This window comes from Homo sapiens, chromosome 1 (genome assembly GCF_000001405.40).
Source record: "Homo sapiens chromosome 1, GRCh38.p14 Primary Assembly".
Classification (NCBI taxonomy): Eukaryota; Metazoa; Chordata; class Mammalia; order Primates; family Hominidae; genus Homo; species Homo sapiens.
In genome coordinates this window covers 247,524,028-247,543,593 of record NC_000001.11, presented here as the reverse complement: position 1 = coordinate 247,543,593, position 19,566 = coordinate 247,524,028, and the positions used below count along the sequence as shown (strand labels likewise).

Sequence of the window (19,566 nt, the reverse complement as noted above, 5' to 3'; positions counted from 1 at the left end):
TCTTTTGACTTTCTGCTTTGTCCACGATAATTACTATAATACAGTGTTCCGCCTTATCCATGGGGGATAATTTCCAAGACCCTCCCAGTTCAGTGGATGCCTGAAACCGTGGATACTACGGAACCCTGTATATACTATGTTTTTCCTATACATACTTATGATAAAGTTTAATTCATAAATTAGGCACAGCAAGAGATTAATAATAAAAAATAGAACAATTATAACAATATACTGTAATAAAAGCTATTTGAATGTGTGTTCTGTCTCTCTCAAAATACCTTATTGTAGTACACTGTGGGTAACTGATAAGGGGGGCTACCATAACAATAAATACTAATATATCAATAACTAATGCTTTGACACATGCTTAATAACAACTTTGAACATCTTGTTCTTATGCTTCCAATTGAAAGACATACTGTACTAGAGACAATTACTTATATTATATCCAAACGATGGGCATTTCTTTAGCCTTGTTTTCAAGGGCACTGATTCTAGCCCTGAGACTGAGTAAGGCCAGCTTGGTGCTCCCTGCTGACTCCGCTGTTGATTAGATCCTGCAGTTAGGGAAGCTAAGGACAGATATTTGGTTGCAGAATATGTGCTTCCTCATATTATTCTGGTCTACAGCTCTACACAGATCCTCTGTCTTCTACCAGGTCTCATGCAGCTTGCTGCCAACTAACTGTAGACAATTACTCCTCCACTGATTATCTGGGGCAAATTCTATTTTTTATTTCCTACGTATTTTACATATTCTTCTTGGTAATTTTATTTTGGACTAAGTAGAATTTTAATAATTCTAGTCAAATAGTCATTAAATTAGAAGCCCTTGTTTGCTAAATTCATGACATTCTTTGTAGAAGAGGAGCTTTCACATCACAGGGGTGACTAGATACTGTAGTTTAAAAAATAACCTGTTTCAGGCTTAGTTTAGGTAAAATTAAAATGTCAAGCAACATCTCCCTTCATGAAGTATGTAGCAAGTAAAATTTAAAGATTTTATTGATACTGAAAATTTCAGGTTTGCATAAACCCAAAACCTAGAGAGCAATTCGCTCTTCTATTTGAGGTATTTGGACACTCAAAGTACATTTAAAAATGCAAAGTCTAGAACAAAATATACCTACAAGAACTGAATGATCCACTTTGGGATTTTCTGTGCAATTATTTCCTTCCACCTTTTCCATATGCTGCTCCTTGGACCACCAGTATTCTACAAGGAGTTACTTTGCATTGAAAATATCATACTGGCATACATTTTCTTTCATTTTCTTTGCTTTTTACTTCTTTCTTCCTTTTTTTAAAAGACAAGGTCTCACTGTGTAGCCCTGGCTGAGATGAACTGGCTATTCCCAGGCATGATCAGAGCATGCTAAAGCTTAGAACTCCTGGGCTCAAATGATCCTCCTGCCTCAGCCTCCCCAGTAGCTGGGACTACAGGTATGCACCACAATGCCCAGCTTGGCTTGCATTTTTTCTAAAATAAATTAGTTGCGGTATGAAAACACAAAAAGCATATTTATTAGTTATTAGTTTGTCTATTCATCTTTTCTTTTTCCTTTTTTTTTTTTCTTTTTTTTTGAGACAGAGTCTCACTCTGTTGCCCAGGCTGGACTGCAGTGGAACAATCTCGGCTCACTGTAACCTCTGCCTCCTGGGTTCAAGCGATTCTCCCTCCTCAGCCTCCTGAGTAGCTGGGACTACAGGCACGCACCACCATGCCTGGCTAATTTTTGTGTTTTTTGTAGAGACAGGTTTTCACCATGTTGGGCAGGCTAGTCTCAAACTCCTGACCTCAAGTGATCCGCCCACCTCAGCTTCCCAAAGTGCTGAGATTACAGATGTGAGCCACTGTGCTCAGCCAGGTTTTTCTATCCATCTTTTCTAGGAGTCCTCTGCCATTCTTAAAAATAGAAATCCCTATTACTGCTCACCTAAGGGTTTTTCTATTTCAAGAAGCAGCCGGGTTTCAGGCCAACATCTCAAATTTGGAGTGTCTGTGTGTTTTTTGACTTGTAGTTTGATTTGAAAACACCATTCATTTTCTGTGTGCAGGAGACCTGATTTTTTATTTGGGCTCCACCTTGGTTCCATCTGCACCCCAGTTTCAGCCATTTGGGGATGAGACTGAGTACTCCATATAGGCCATGATGAGACCGTGCGGAAAATACCGACATATAATGAATAGCTGAATTAGTTCTCAATATTCTACCCCACCAACTGTGATCCATATGACATGGGAGGCCAAACCTACTGCTTTGCTCAAGGATATACCATGGAAACTTGAGTTCTGAGAAGCTCAGTTGCTGGGAAATTGCCAAAAGACATTAATTATAAGCAATGCATTGCTCTAACTAGCAAGAGGCATTTCCTTGTTGTTTTAATAGCTTCAATAGGAAAAAAAAAATTGAAAAAGCTTTTGCAAGAAAATAGTCACAGGATTTATAATTTAAACCAGCATAGGTTTAGACAAAACTATGACCAAATGGGTAAAGAAATGTCTGGATGAAAAAATAAAAGGCTTGAGTAGTGTAACTGTCACTTAAAAGAATATTTGTGTCATTTTTGAAAAAAATTCTTTTCAGCAGTTTCTTTTATTTTTAATACTCAGTAACTCAATGCCTTCTAAACAGAAATAGAGAACATATAAAAATGAGGATATGCAAGACATTACAACTTTCTCAAAGGCTCTTGAGTTTTTTTCCTTGCAGGTGGTTACAGTTTAGGAAATGCATGAATGACAAATATTTGGTAGTGGAGTGATTGTATTCTACGTGAATTGAAAAGAAAAGAGAAACTGCAAAACCCGGAGTGCAGTCTTATCCTTTCTAATCCTTCTGACGCGTTGCAGAAAGCTTGCTCGTTTGCAATAAAGTAAGGCCTCCCTCCCCCACTTGCTCTTGCATCCCCACAGTGGTCACTGCCCCCACCTTCAGTTCATACATCTGCTCACACATCAGCACTCCTTTATTAAGCTGCATCTTCGTGCCCATGCTCGGAAACTGGGGATGCAGAAGAAACAAAGTAGACACCACTGCCTTCATGAGCTTCTATTCTGACAGAACAAGACACATAAGTAAAAATAAGCATGTAGAATGCTTCAATACGTGCTGAACAGTGCTCCGGAGAGAAATAGAGCAGAAGTGGGAAAAGGATAAGTTTGACAATTCGAAGTAACACCATCAGGGAAAATGCCTCTGAGGTGAAGGTTAAGGACAGATGTGAGGCCTCAGCCAAGCACTTGTTAAGAGATGGAAACTGGCTGGGCGTGGTGGCTCAAGCCTATAATCCCAGCACTTTGGGAGGCTTAGGCAGGTGGATGATGAAGTCAGGAGTTCGAGACCAGCCTGGCCAACATGGTGAAACCCCATCTCTACTAAAAATACAAAAAATTACCCAGGCGTGGTAGCACATGCCTGTAATCCCGGGAGGCAGAGGTTGCAGTAAGCTGAGATTGGGCCACTGCACTTCAGCCCAGGCAACAGTGCGAGACTCTGTATCAAAAAGAGAGAGAGAGAGAGACTATTCTAGGCAGAGGAACCAGCAGAGCTAAAAGCAGCATGGCAAGTGAGAGCCTGGCGTTTTTGAGGAGCGAGGAAGCCTGTGAGGCTACAGTAGAGGGAGGAATGGGAGAAGTGGTGGGAAGTGGGATCAGAGAGGTAATGTGTGTGGAGGGGGAAGGCGCAGACAGTAGATACTCATGGATTATGAAACAACATGGGGTATTTACAGAGTCAGGTAGGAAGTCAGTGAAGCGTTTTCAAGTAAAATCGTTGTGATTTTAATACAAGTAATCTAGCTGAGACAGGGTGATTCGTTGTAAAAATGATTGTAATCTGGATATCTTTAAAAATAGAGTCAAAAGGATTTGCTGACAGATTATATGTGAGGAACAGAGGTCGTGGAAATGAGAGGGGTCAATGTTTGAGGCCGAGGGCTCCCCTGATTAGGCCCAGACTTAACTTGCCTCACTGGCTTTAGTCGCTTGCTTTTAGTCGGTCACTTGTTTCTAGTTTATTTTAAGATTTTCATAGCTAAAGGTCACGTAGCTAAGCAATATATAATAAAAAAAAATAAAACTGCCACCAGTTTCCTCAGAGATAACATCTCTCATGTATAGATCACTGTGGTAACGATTGCTTAAGTTCTTTTCAGGAACGAGGGTCAACTCTTGTCCAGTTCAAGCTAGCTGAAACCACTGGTCCCCAACTGGACCTGCGTGAATATCCAATGGGTGACCTTTAGATGTCACAGTGCCCAAAACTCCACCCTCAGATCATGTTAATGACACCATTTTGTGAACATGTGTGCTATGAAGAGCCATGAAGTTTGACTATATTTGAGCAGATTACTGATTACCTCATTTTTTCCTACCCCAATCACATTTTCCTACACCTTGGACCACCTCACTCCTCTATCCCATAAATATCCCTAAAATCCCATTTTCAGGGAGACTGATTTGAGACCTGTTCTCCTGCTTTCTCACTTGACTCCCTCATAAATAAACTCATTCTCTGCCACAAAACTCATCATTTCAGTGATTGGCATACGGTGCCATGGGTTTGGAACCACATGGACTCCAAGCTTCTGGACTAAGCAAATGGAAGAATAGAGTTCTCAGTTGTCATCAACTGAGAAGAGGAGACTGCAGCTGGAGGAGGTCAGGTGTACAACAGGGTTCGTTTTCTAAAGTGTTGCACTGGAGCTTTGCATTAGCCATCTGTATTAGGCAGGTCGAGATATCATAACAAAACACCACAAACTGGGTGGTGGCGGGCAACAGAAATGTATTTTCTCACAGTTCTGGAGACTGGAAGTCCAAGATCAAGGTACCCTCAGGGTTGGTTTCTGATGACGCTTCCCTTCCAGCTCGCAGCCATCTGCCTGCTTGCTGTGTCCTCATCTGGCCTTTCCTCTGTGCATGTGTGGAAAGAAAGAGACTGGGGTAGGCAGGGAGGGAAGATAGCTAGTATTTCTTACTCTTTTTATAAGTATTCCAATCTTATGACATTAGGCTGCCACTCTTATAAACTCATTTACTCATAATTATCCCCTTAAGGGCCTTATCTCCAAATATAGTCACATTGTGGGTTATGGTTTCAACATATGAATGGGTGTAGGGCACAATTCAGTTCATAACACCATCCAAATGAAGCTGTAGTATAGGCAGTTAGATATGTGAATCTGAAGTTTGGCATAGAGGTGCTGGCCAGGAATATAATTCAGAGAGTCTTCAGAATACGGTTCATATTTGGACCCATTAGACTAGATACTAGCTAACATACGTCTATGGGTTTATGTCACTTGATTTTTGACAAGGGTGTCAATAGAGAAAGTGTAATCCTTTCAACACATATATCCAGTTCAACACAACTGGATAGACACCTGCTAAAGAATGAAGTTGGACCCTACCTTACAGCATATACAAAACGTAACTCAAAATACATCAAAAGCCTAAATGAAAGAGCAAAAAATTATAAACTCTTAGAAGTAATCATAGAAGTACATTTTCATGACCTTGGAAGTCTCACTGTTTTGTTAAATATGACATGAAAACCAAAAACAACAACAAAAAAAATAGATAAATTAGTCTTCATCAAAATTAGAAACTTTTGTTCATCAAAAAGACATTGTCAAAAGAGTTAAAAGACAATATACAGAGCGAGAGAAAATATTTGCAAATCATGTATTTCATAAGGGTATAATATTCAGAGTATATAAGGAACACTTACAAAAAGACAAACAACCCAATCAAAAAATAGGCAAAAGACTTGAATAGACATTTTTCCAAAGAAGACAAGTAAGTGGCCAACAAGCACATTAAAAAATGCACAACATTATTAGCTGCTGGGAAACACAAATCAAAACCACAATGAGATGCCACTTTGTATCCACTACGATGGCCATAAAGGAAAAAAAAAAGATTGTAAAAAGTGGAAAATAACAAGTGCTGGTGATTATGTGGAGAAACTGGAACACAAATTGCTTGTAGAAATGTAAAGACTGTTTAGCTGCAGCAGAAAAGTTTGCTGGTTCAATAGTAAGTTGTTCATAGAATTTCCATAAGACCTAGCAATTCCACTCCCAGGTATACCCAGTAGAATCAGAAACGGAGTTCAAACAAAAACTTGTATGTGAATGTTCATAGCAGCTCTATTCACAATAGCCAAAAGGTAGAAACAACTCAAATGTTCATCAACAAACTAACCCAAATGTCTGTCAACAGATGAATAAACAAAAGGTGGTAGAGTCATAGAATGGAATATTATTCCTCTTTAAAAGAGAATGAAGTACTGATACACGCTACAACATAGATGAACCTTGAAAATATCATGTTAAATGAAAGAAACCAGACACAATAACATGTATGATATAAGTCCATTTATATGTAATATCCAAAATAGGCAAATCCATACATAGAGAAAGCAGATTAGTGGCTGGCAGGGCTAGGGAGAGCTGGCAAATGAAGACTGACTGCTCGATGGCTACAGGTTTTCCATTTGAGGTGATGAAAAAGTTCTGACGCTTGATAGAGGTGATGGTACAGTCTTGTGAAAGAACTTAATTCCACTGACTTGCACACTTAAAATAGTTACAATGATAAATTTATATGCTATCTGTATTTTACCAAAATAAAAATAAATTGATAAATTTAACTTATTAAGAAAAACATTATCTCATCACTGATGTATACACCAATAATAAAATCAATGGTTTTTTTAAAAAAAGAGTCTATAGCAGCATGTATCAAAATTAACAGAATGAGCAAATGTCTCAGACTATCTCCCTCACTACATGATAGAGAGACTTGATTCTTACGCTCCATAAGCAGTTTGGCAGTATAAAAACTAAAATAATATTCCAGTCATAAAAAAGAAACAATTCTGTGTGTGTAATACAATGAAGTTATAATTATCCAATAGGGAAAGAAATCCCAAAAGCTTTTTTCCCTCCACTTTTACTCCCCTGATATATGCCATCACCCTCAGGCTCCCTCCTGAAGGCTCCAGGGGTTACAATCAATGTCTTAGAATTATAAGGACTTTATGTCACACTTCACCCTTTAGGGTCTGCATATACTTTCTCATTCTGGAAACACCATGAGCCATTCTCACTCCTTTGATTATCAATTTTCTTACAAAGTATTTTAAGTGCTTTCTGCTAGTTCAATCCCATTGTGATTTAAATACTTAATAATGTGTCCTTTAGACATGAATTTGAACAGAATCTAACACGTCTGCTACCACCGACTTAGAGATTTCCACTATTTGCAGGGCTTTAAAATCCCCTGGCTAAACTCCTATTTTTTTAATGCCACACGCATTGAATTCATGAATGTTATCAGTCTTTTTAATAAAATATTGCCCATTTTACAACATTTCCACCCTGCATAAATAGAGATGATGCTGCTAGCTCACCATTAGTAAGTGACATTTTGAATTTTGTCGTTTGTTTGTTGTTGTTGTTGTTTATGGTATTTAAGATAAACTGGATCTCAGACTTTCTGGTAATTCCAGTTAAAATTGATAAGCACTGATCCGTTTAAATGATCTGATTTCCTCATGTGGCCTTTGATATTCTAGCAGCTTGCCTATGTTCTGCGATACAGTTTGTGACTGCCTAGTTAACTCAGACAAAATTTGAACTCAAGACGTTTCCTTAACTTTCAGTATGCTATCTTTGTCTTAATGGCACAGTGTTTGGGATAGGGTTGCATTTTGAAAAGTGAGTTTTTAATTGTGACAATTTTGGTGAATCTCTGCGGGTAAGCAAACCTCTTCCTTTACTGAAAACGCTATTTTTGTACTAAGAATCTGAGTATCTTGGGTATAGCTCCAGTATGACTAAGCAGCCCAGGGGCTTTGGATAAGTTACTAAACATTTCTAGAAGTAGATCAGATCACCACAAAGATCTCTTTTTCCTCAAAAATTCTACTAAACTATTACCTCATGAGTGACCTTGTGGTTCCTCTCAGCATCATTTACACATTTTCTGCATGTTATCAACTGTGAGTCAACAAAATTTTTATCTTTCCACAGATGGGATATACTTACACCCACGGGTCATAATGCAGTTGTCAGTTTAACCTGTTGTTTTTCAGCTCACCTGCGGTGACTCTATATACAGTACACCCACTTTGACTGTCATGACTCAGTTGTACCTAACTCTCCCAATCCCAGTTCATCTTTTCTCTCTCACATTCACATGATGAAAACATCCACGTTTTGACAGGTCTCAACTCTACCTCCCTGATTGGTTTGTTTGTTGTTGTTTTGAGACAGGGTCTTGCTCTGTTGCCCAGGCTGGAGTGCAGTAGCACAATCATGCCTCATTACAGCCTTGATCTCGTGGGTTGAAGCCATCCTCTAGCCTCAGCTTCCCAAGTAGCTGAGACTACAGGCACACACAGCCACACTCAGTCATTTTATTTTATTTTTTTGTAAAGACAATCTCTCACTATGTTGCCCAAGCTGGTCTCAAACTCCTGAGCTCAAGTGATTCCCCCCACTTCAGCCTCCCAAAGTGCTAGGAATACAGGCATGAGCCACCGCCCCCGGCTTGCCTCCCTGATTTGGAGGAGGTTGGAATGTATTCTCCAGGATGCCTTCTCCCATAGTATTAATGCTTCCCTGGCCTACTATATGCAGGCCAGATGATTGTCTCAGTATTCTGACACAGTAAGTCCACAATGGGACAGCTTCCACGTGTGAATTTTAACAAATGCCTAGAGTTTTCTGAGCCTCATTTCTATACATGCACAATGGAAAACCTACCTGTATTTTTAAAACTGAATGCACATGTCTGTTCATGTCTATTTTGTTTAATTGACTTCCAGTTACAGGGATAGGTAAATTCTACTCTCTGGGATTTTAAGAAGGCTGATAGTTAAGTTCACAGCTGCTCTGTTCCCCTAATCTGGGTGAATCTTAACTATAATAAATTGATTCTCCTTTTTAAAATACAGGCTAGAATTAATGTTTTGCAAAGAAGGGCCCCAAAGGTCTTCAGGGACATCGGAAGCACACTGAAATTGTCCAGTTTCTGACTTTATGCACTGCCCCTGCTAAATCGTGCTCGTTTTATTCCAACTGTACAAAAGCAGAGGATAGTCCAGACCCTTCTGCATGACTCTGGCAGTTCCAAGAGCTCTCTCCTGACAACACTACCGAAAGTTTATGCTGAGTCCTTCCACTCTGCCTTCATATTACTCTAGTCCTGCCTCTTCCACCCCACAGAACCTTTCTAGCAACCTGTTTCATGATGCACGTCCATGAATATTGATTAAGGGACTACTGTGTATCAGACACTGGGTTAGACACTGGGGACCCAGAGGTAAACAAAAGATAAAACTATGGCTCCATGGAATTTATGATCTAGTGGAGCGAGACGGGTAGCAAACAAAAGAAATAAGAGTAGTTTATTTGTTATAAGATTATCACCTTATATAAAAATAATTCAGGAAAGAGAGAGAAGGGAGTTGTGAGGGTTTTCAATATTATATAACACAGTCAGGGAGGGCCTCAGTCAGAAGGTGACTTTTCAAAAATGACCTGAAGAAGGTGAGGAAGGGGGTGTGTGGATGTCTTGGGGAGAAAGCACTGTAAGTATAGCAAACTGCAGCTGCAAGCCTTGTACCAAGACAATGAGGGTGTTGAGCAGCAGACTGATGTGATCATATGTCTTAATGTAATCCTGTGATTGCTTTCGTAGGAGTGAGGGAAAATTTCACCTTTGTCCTCTGAAATTTCACAGAAATCAACTGACAAATGGCAGATTCATAGGAGAAAAGACATACACATTTATTTGATCATAGTTTTACATAACAGAGGAGCCTTCAGATGAGAATCCAAAGATACAAGAGAAACTTCCCATTTTTATGCTTAGGTTCAAAGCCATATGGACAGCCATGTAGAAATATGATTGAACATGAAGGGCATGATCTAATACTGATGGACTGAGTGAAGAAGCCCAGCAAGACCCATCGTGAGATTCTTTTTGGCCTCTCTGAGCAGTGTTCCTTTTTTCTTGGTATGCAATAAGACCTCTCTGGAATGGAGGTCTTATGATCTACAATCCAGTAAGGTAGGTCAGATAATTTATTTATGGCTAGTTTTAACACAGAAAGGTGGAGGGAAAGTTAGAGTAACATTTTTAGGTTTTATGGCTGGCTTTGAGGAAAAGGGGCTCTGGTTTCTATGTGTCACCTTGGGGAAGAGGGATTCTAATTTCTATGGCTAACTGCGGGGAAGAATGAGGGGCCACGGACAAGAAGGCAGGAGAAAGAGAAACTTTTGCTTCTGAAGCCTTCATGGTGGGGTATCATTTTCTGAGCCCCAACACTTTTTTGAGAGTACTTGGAAGGGGAGCAAAGGAGAAGCAGAGAGATGAGTTAGAGTATTAGATCAAAATTCAGATGATAAATGATGGCAAGATGGGCCAGAGTGGCAGGAGCAGGGGTGGTGAGAAGGGATAAAAAACTGGATATAGTTAACGACAGCAAAAACTTGCAGATGATTGTGGAATTTGAGAGGGCACAATTTTAATGCCTGTACAGTGGTTCATCACATGAATGACCACCCTCTACCTGACTAACCCTTTATTGCTAAACATTTAGGTTGCATATAGATGTTGTTACTATAATATTTCCATTTTAAAAAAGCAGTGCTAAGGATTTTGCATGAATGTCCATTTTCCCCAGACAGTGAACACCCCCCACCCAGTCTTTTATTATACAGTCCAAGTTGGCCGTGAGGAAGGTAATGCAATGCCATCCACGTAGCTGTTGAGTGGCTACTTTTGAAAACAATGGGTATAAAATGTACTTTTAGCCAGACATGGTAGTACGTGCCTGTATTCTCAACCTACCAAGGAAGTTGAGGTGGGAGGATTGCTTGATCCCAAGAGTTTGAAGTTAGCCCGGGCAACACAGTGAAATTGTGTCTCTAAAAAAGAATAACATAAAATGAACTAAAATACACTTTTAATGTTTGCTAACTGATGTAATTGCTTCATGTCTCATGCCCTGTATGCCCTGTGCTCTTCCCACAGGTGGCCTTTTGCCCCACCCCCAGCATACAATGATGGAAATAGCCAATGTGAGTTCTCCAGAAGTCTTTGTCCTCCTGGGCTTCTCCACACGACCCTCACTAGAAACTGTCCTCTTCATAGTTGTCTTGAGTTTTTACATGGTATCGATCTTGGGCAATGGCATCATCATTCTGGTCTCCCATACAGATGTGCACCTCCACACACCTATGTACTTCTTTCTTGCCAACCTCCCCTTCCTGGACATGAGCTTCACCACGAGCATTGTCCCACAGCTCCTGGCTAACCTCTGGGGACCACAGAAAACCATAAGCTATGGAGGGTGTGTGGTCCAGTTCTATATCTCCCATTGGCTGGGGGCAACCGAGTGTGTCCTGCTGGCCACCATGTCCTATGACCGCTACGCTGCCATCTGCAGGCCACTCCATTACACTGTCATTATGCATCCACAGCTTTGCCTTGGGCTAGCTTTGGCCTCCTGGCTGGGGGGTCTGACCACCAGCATGGTGGGCTCCACGCTCACCATGCTCCTACCGCTGTGTGGGAACAATTGCATCGACCACTTCTTTTGCGAGATGCCCCTCATTATGCAACTGGCTTGTGTGGATACCAGCCTCAATGAGATGGAGATGTACCTGGCCAGCTTTGTCTTTGTTGTCCTGCCTCTGGGGCTCATCCTGGTCTCTTACGGCCACATTGCCCGGGCCGTGTTGAAGATCAGGTCAGCAGAAGGGCGGAGAAAGGCATTCAACACCTGTTCTTCCCACGTGGCTGTGGTGTCTCTGTTTTACGGGAGCATCATCTTCATGTATCTCCAGCCAGCCAAGAGCACCTCCCATGAGCAGGGCAAGTTCATAGCTCTGTTCTACACCGTAGTCACTCCTGCGCTGAACCCACTTATTTACACCCTGAGGAACACGGAGGTGAAGAGCGCCCTCCGGCACATGGTATTAGAGAACTGCTGTGGCTCTGCAGGCAAGCTGGCGCAAATTTAGAGACTCCAGTGCCTTCTGAGAAGGAAGATCAAGTTTACATCGAGCAAAGTGACCTTGGAAGACAGGGCACTTGGGATGTCGTTTTTCTTCTAATATTGTTTGAGCTCAAGGTAGATGGAAATCTGAAAGGAGTGTGCTCATGCCATTTCCAGACCAAGAAAATACATTTATTATTTGCTAATTATCATAGTTTTGTTCAATTGCGTTGTTGGTTTTTGCTATATATACACATGTTGACTGTCATCTTGTTTTGTAAACTCCTTGCGTTGTTGTTCAGCTGTTCCTCAGTATCCGAAGCGGGTGGATTCCAGGACGCTCCGTGGATAATAAACTTTGACGACGCTGAGAGCGCGCGGGGAGACCGGAGCCGGCCTGTTCCCCAGAGCCCCCGGAGCCCTCCCAGCCCTCAGGCCTGCGCCTGGGGTGAGCTGAGCCCGGGACTCCGCCTTGCAGGCTCCGGAACCCTCGCTGTGGCTCCCCCGCTCGGCCCAGGCCTTGAAGCCGCGGCGAACCTCTTCCTACCCTACCTCGGGGACCTGGTGGCAGCGGCGGCCTCCCCCAGCCTGGACCCCGCCGGCCGCGGGTCTCCCGGCCCAACCCCACCGACCCAGACCAAGACCGCGCCGAGCCGCCGGGACTCAGCGCCTTCGGGTGGCGGCGGTAAGCGGGGAGGAAACATGGCGCCGCCCAAATGCGCCCGGAGGCCGTTAGGCTGTGGAGGGCGAGGAAGGCGGTCCAGAGGCGGCCGGCAGGTCCACGTCCTGGGCGACCGCTCTGTCGCAGTTGGGCGAGACCTACCTAGTCCTGACGGGTCGTATTTCCAAGACATTTTCATATTCTATCCATTGTTTTGTGTGCATTTTATTACTTCTGTATATAGAGGTAACAACGCTAAGCTTTTTTGAGATGTCTGTTTCTTCTAGATGTTCTGAAGTACCTGATACATGTTAAAATTAGAGGTAGTAAAATGACACATTTTGTAAATAACTTTTTGTTAAAATTCATAGGAAATGTTATTTTGTGGGGGGGGGATGGCATGGTGTTTGTGGACTGGTTCAGGGAAGGAGGGGAAAAGGGAGGTGCAGAGAGCTCTAAGCCAGTGTGCTTACAGTGAGGCGAGATTCACCATTGTTTCTTATGATTGTGCATTTTGTTTTACTTATCTATGTATACAGTGTATCTAAAGGACAAACGAGTCCTAATTTACAACAGCTAGTCTTTCCAGATGTTAAAGAACTTCTATCAATAGAGTAACCTATCACTAGAGTTCACCTCTATCAATAGAGTAACCTCATTCTCTGCCTGATGATTCAAAGGCATGGGAAGACCAAAACCATGTGGCAGTTCCTGTTTTTGATTTTATTATATATATGTATATAATATGAAAGTAGTCATTAAAGTAGTCTTTCCTTTCGTACTAGGATCTTCCAATTCACTGTATTAGTCAGGGTTCTCCAGAGAAACAGAACCAAAAATATGTGTAAAAGAGAATACACACACACACACACACCCTGAGGGGGAGAGAGAGAAAAAAGAGTGAGAGAGATTGAGAGTTAAGAAATAGGCTCACACAATTTAGGGAACTGGCAAGTCTGAAATTTGCAGGGCAAGCCAGCAGGCTGTAAATTTTGACAGAGGTTGATGTTGCAGCTTGAGTTCAAAGTCTGGAGGCAAAATTCCCTCTTTTTGGAAGCAGGTCAGTCTTTTCTCTTAAGGCTTTCAACTGATGGGATGAGACCCACTCACATTATAAAGGGTAATCTGCTTTACTAAAAGTCTACTGATTTAAATGTTAATCGCATCAAAAAAAAAAAAAAAAAAAAAAAAAAACACCTTCACAGTAACACCGAGGCTTGTGTTTGAACAAAAACTGGGCACCATAGTCCAACCAAGTTGATATGTAAAATGAACCATCACACCAAACCCAAACTTTCAGTGAAGTGAAGCAACATTCTTCAACTGGATTATTATGCATCATGTACGAGACACTCTCATGTCTTGTTGGTTTCTGGACTCATGTATCAGGTTACGGTGACTGCAGGTTTAGGGCATACACTGCAGCCTGCAGGAAAGCAGTGCTTATTTACACAGTATTGTTTCTCAGCTTCAATAACTAAACCTTCAGCAGGCCATTCCATCATTCAATAAAGCCCATTCCATCATTCAGTCAAGCCCACTGCTTCTGAATATTGAGGTATGAAGTATGAATCATGAATTCCAAGGGCAATTCTATTGCCACACCCCTTTTGCTGTGAAATATGTTTCCTGGTTACAGGTGATATTGCAGGGGATGCCATGGTGATGATTAAGGCTTTGTTCACTATGTAAATGGTTCGGGCATGGAAGACAAAACTGTCCCCACAATATTATTCTGTCCCTATAAAGACTAACATTGCTTACTCTATGCTCAAAGGAGTCCAGAGTAATCACTATGCTACTAGTCCAGCCAGACGCCTGGAAATAGTGCCAAATCACATGCTAACCTTGGTGAGAGAAATGTCATAATGCTGAGCCCATTCATAGTTTCCATCCCTGCTTCCATGTTAAATTTCTCATAGGCTCAATGAGCAAGCCTGCTGGCAAAAGAGATTGACTGATTACCTACTAGATGAGTCATCTTATCTACCATACCACCAAGATCCATCTCTGCAGTGGATGCCCTCTCATGGGCATTTATGTCAGACAGATATCTTCATGATCTGTGCACTTTTCAGGAAATTCTTCAATGTCCTCTTCTCCAGATTTGCCTGCCATTAATTTTCCAGCCTTATTCTTCACAAATCTCTCAGCAAAATAATAACTTGTTATCCAATGCTCCTAAATCAGTGCATATCCAAACTTCTGTGCCTGTCTCCTTCTATAAAAAATTAACAACCAGCTAAACTGCCTGTAGTTTGACCACTGGGAAGTTTCCCTTCCTCACCATCTTTCAGCAACACCTGGAGGGGTACTGTGGTTTAATGCCATTTGCTTCTTTCTGTTGCTGGTGTATAATGCAGATTCATTTGTAAACTGGCCCATGCTTTTTCCTTCTTTAACAGTTGGCTAAACATGAAATATGGGTGAGATCATGCAGGATTTGTCCCTTTGTGTTTGGCTTATTTCACTTAACACAATGTCTTCTAGGTTCATGCATGTTGTGAAGACAGGATTTTGAACGCTCTCACCACAAAGAAATGACAAGTGTTTGAGGTAATGGATATGTTAATTACCTTGATTTGATCATTACACAAGTATACATGTATCAAAACATCATACTGCACCCCATAAGTGTGTACAATTGTTATTTGTGAATTAAAAACAAACTAAAATGAAATTTAAAAAATAATTATACAATTTTGGGGGCTTGGGGGTGGGGGAAGGGGAAGTAAAAAAGCAGACAGCAGGTACTCTAGGAGTCAGAGACACATGATAACATTATTATGAGTCAGGAAGGTAGGAAATCAAGTTACTGACATTTTTTACTCAGTTTAGAACCCAAAGACCGAAGAAACAGAAACAAATGGGGGAAATCATAACTTTTAAAGTATTAGATAAAATTTTTGAGAAAGTTAAATACTGCATGTTCTCATTCATCTGTGAAAGCTAAAAAAGGGTTGATCTCATAGAAATAAGTAGAACAGAGGATACTTGAGGCTGGGAATGGATAGCAGGGGTGGGGGAATGAGAAGAGATTTGTTAAAGGATACAAAATTACAGCTCCATTGGAGGAGTAAGTTCTAGTGTTCTATACCACTGCGGGATGACCATAACAATAATATATTCTGTATTTTCAAACAGCTAGAAGGAGGATATTGAATGTTCCCAGCACGAAGAAACGATAAATGTTTGAGATGATGGATATTCTAATCACACTTATCTGATCACTATACATTATGTGCTTCCAAACATCACTGTTTACCCCAGAAATATGTTCAATTATTATATGTCCACTAAAAGCTAAAATAAAAAAATTTTCAAACATTCAAGATCTGAAGAAAAACTTCAATCTGAATACTAAAAACTTTCCCTAACCTCTTGAAAAGACTAATTAAAAATCTCTGGAGTTTGGATGCACTGTAATTTTCATCTGCCAGTTCATGGCTTTGTTTAAGCTCAGTAGTCAAGTTGGTAGAACCTCCAGAGAAAGCAATGAGGAAGTGGCAGTAGGACCCTCTGGGACCCGTTACCCCAAATATCTGTCATCTTCTTGACCTCAAGGCTGGGTGTCAACTCAGGACAGGAGTGCAGGTCCTCATCAGTTTATGTGGGGATAGCAGACAACGCAGACCCTCCCAGAACCATGAGGACAGCACTGTGCTTTGCCCTGACCATCCATCAGCCCCTGTTTGGCACAGAGGAGAATGATGACCATAACTCACACTCTCCTCCAACTGCCTTAAATGCTCAGGCTGATTGGTCATGTGCTCACCCAACTGCTCCCTAAATGCTTAACAGAAAATGAAGACATCCTCTCCAGAACCCAAGGAAATACACTTGAAATGTGATTTGTACCTCAGATTGGCATCCAAGAACTGAAAGAAACACCAGGCATTCCACACAATTTCTGGCTCCACATCCAGTAGAACTATTGGAATCCTCCAACATAACCATCTTGAGGCAGTAAATCCTGAAAGAAAGTGAAAGAAGACCTTTCTAAATAGAGGGAAGTCCCATCTTACTTGGATTTAAGTTATAGTAAATGAAGAGGAAAATGCTAACATGCCATATTGGACACCACTTGTCTTTCGATGCCAGGTCCCTTTTCAGCCGAATATGTCAGAATTTTCTAGGCTCCATCTTTTCTTTTATTCCTCTTGCAGCAACCATAGGCTTTGATGGCTTCTCACAGGACAGAAAACCTGGATCATCCCAAACCTGCTCTGTGAACCCTCTACTTCATGTATGGGTTTCCTCCCATGCTGCACACTGTGAGGGTCATGCATCACCACAGCATGCACAGCTGAGAAATGTGGAGAGTGAAGGACCCAGGCCACATTGACTGTGGGGATGTAAGCCAGTGGAGACACACTTCCTGAAGTAAGATGCATTTCACAAAGCTCCCAGTTTCCAGAAGGATGGAGCACCAGTCACCCTTGGTCATGGCCAAACCCTCTTTGTCCTTGCCCTTTCCTGCTCTCTGGGATCACAGAACATGTGCACTGGACACAGCTTCTGCCTTGGAAACACCCAGACTAAGGTAATTTCTCACACACCAGTTTATCTTCCAGCTTCTGTCAGAACTTTAGGTCAGGTATTATGAGCCAGATAGAGTAAAAAATATAAACTTTAAAAATTATAATCACCCTCAACATGGCAAGCTTCTCATGGTAAGAAAGGAATGCAAGAATTCAGAAACTAACCCAGGGAATAGCAGGCTCAAGATTTCTTGGCAAATAAATTCACTTAATAGATCACAGATATTTTCTCATCTCAACACATGCTGTGCACAGGTATATTTCAAACCTAATCACCGTGGAATTTCTCATTTTCATTATTACAAACAAAGCTACAATAAGTTCATGTGTATTGAAATCCTTGCAAACTTGACTAGTAGCTCAAGATAAATTTTAGAATAAAAAATCAAATGGTATTCACATGTATATACTCTGAAGCATATATTTGGTCTTCAACAGGTTTCCAGGCATACAACTACTAAAATCCTTGGATTCCTTAAAGTGGTACTTGTATGTTAATGAGTTGACAAATGGCTAGTAGTCCCTACGTAGCTTCAGGATGGGAGCTGGGCACCTGAAAGACCAAGGCAGAATTAGAGAATTAAGATAGTCAGACCCAGCCCCCAACCTCCATGGAGGGAAGAAGGGATGAATGTTAAGCAGAACACCAATGGCCAGTGATTTAATCAGTCATGCCTACAGAATGATGCCTCCATAAAAACCCTCAAGGACTGGGTTCAGAGGGCTTCCAGATAGCTGAAGACGTGGAGGTTCCTGGAAGGTGGTGAACCTGGAGAGAGCATGCAAGCTCCACAGCCTTTCCCTATACCTCACCCTATGCATCTCTTCATCTGCATCTCTTGCGATATCCTTTACAATAAACTGCTAAATGTAGATGCCTCCATGAGTTCTGTGGGCTGCTCTAGCAAATTAATTGAACCCAAGAAGGGGGCTGTGGTAACCCAGACTTACAGCTGATTGACTGGTCAGACACACAGGTAAAAAGAACTTGAGGCTTATAATTGGTATTGGAAACGGGGATGTCTTATGAGACTTAGCCCTCACCCAGCAGACCTGGCGTTATTTCCAGGTAGATAGTGTCAAAACTGAATTGAAGGACACCCAGCTGGTGTCTGCCATAGGATTGATTGTTTGCTTGGTGTATGGGCTTAACCCCATCACCTTTAGTCACAGAAGTCTTCTGTGTTGATTGTTGAGTGAGAGAATAGAAAAAGCGCTTTAGTTTGTTTTTCCTTATAGAACATGTTGACATTATGTGGACATATTTAAATTTCCCTTCAGACACCAAATTCGTACTTTTGCCAATAATGTGTACAAAGGCATATATTCTCACAGTTTCACTAACATTTGATTTTGTTAGTAACTTTAGTTTTACTTGCAAATCTTACCTCAGTATCATTTTATTTGGCATTGATTTAATCATTAGTGAGGTTTAACATCTTCTGGTATGTTTTGGGGCTATTTGTGTTTCTTCAATAAATTGTTTTTTTCTTAAATTTTCATTGTTTTACCTTTTTGCTTACTGATTTGTAGCGGTAGTTGACATGATTCTACACATCTTTGTCATCATATAAGTGTTGAATCGTTTTTCTAGTGGGACGTTTTATCCTTTTGCTATGTTTTGTTTGTTTCCTTTGTGGTACAAAAGTTTTAAATGTTATATGTATTAAATAAACTATCAATCATGCCTTTATGCCTTCTAGTTGTGGGACTGTTCATTATTTCATTCAAAGAAATGAATTATTATTTAAACATGGTTTATGTATGCAGCCTGTATTGGAGGCTGAAGATGCAGGAATAAATAACTGATATCCCTGCTTTCATAGGATGCAAAAGTTCGGGAAGAGAGAATATTCACCAACAAAGCAAGCAAATGAGAATGTCGGTTAAGAGATACGATCAACTGCCATGCAGGGTGAGCCTGGAGAAGGTGACATGAGGTCTAGGGACTGCCACTTGCGCTCTCCCCTGAAACAAAGGAGGAAGTCACACAGCATGGGTATGGAGGGCATCCCAAGGGGAGGGAGTAGCCAGTATCAAGGCTTTGGAAGAGGAAGGGCTACATGTGTAGAAAGGCTGGTGTGGCTGAAAGAGAGTAAGGGAAAGAGTGGTGGGAAGTGAGGTCTGAGAGATCCCTCAGGCCCAGGTAATAAATGTCTTAGAGACCCTAGATGTATGGAATTTCATATTTTCAGACTATTTGGAAGAAGTAAAGGGCATGATAAGCCTTCATGCTTGGAGTTATGCTTAGAAATGGCCTGCGATCTTCCAGATTGTATTTATCTTCTCGTTTTATGGTTTTCTATTTTATGTTTAGGTTTTCAATTCACTGCATCTGCAGAGT

At 41.2% G+C, this 19,566-nt stretch overlaps 2 protein-coding genes and 1 long non-coding RNA gene across 11 annotated transcripts in view; 2 read left to right on the top strand and 1 right to left on the bottom strand.

Moving 5' to 3' along the window:
* GCSAML (germinal center associated signaling and motility like) overlaps window positions 1-19,566 on the bottom strand; it is a 70,633-nt gene that overhangs the window by 34,097 nt on the left and 16,970 nt on the right. For 7 of the 9 annotated variants that reach the window (NM_001281853.1, XM_047447035.1, NM_001281835.2 and 4 more), the window contains exon 2: window positions 16,540-16,654. The gene's annotated coding sequence lies outside the window, so the exon portion shown is untranslated. Of the gene's footprint in view, window positions 1-4,802; window positions 4,919-16,539; window positions 16,655-17,622; window positions 17,776-19,566 lie in introns of all 9 variants that reach the window. The other 2 variants (NM_001281834.2, XM_047447036.1) reach the window with 2 other exon arrangements.
* Window positions 7,154-18,917, top strand: OR2C3 (olfactory receptor family 2 subfamily C member 3). Its single transcript, NM_198074.6, has 3 exons — window positions 7,154-7,426; window positions 9,716-10,087; window positions 11,054-18,917. Exon 3 carries the CDS (start codon window positions 11,083-11,085, stop codon window positions 12,043-12,045), a length of 963 nt encoding a protein of 320 aa, NP_932340.4. The 5' UTR covers window positions 7,154-7,426; window positions 9,716-10,087; window positions 11,054-11,082; the 3' UTR covers window positions 12,046-18,917.
* On the top strand, window positions 12,790-18,915 carry GCSAML-AS1 (GCSAML antisense RNA 1). The gene is made up of 4 exons (NR_027309.2): window positions 12,790-13,004; window positions 15,172-15,237; window positions 16,848-17,224; window positions 17,661-18,915. It is a non-coding gene; the product is annotated as a GCSAML antisense RNA 1 (long non-coding RNA).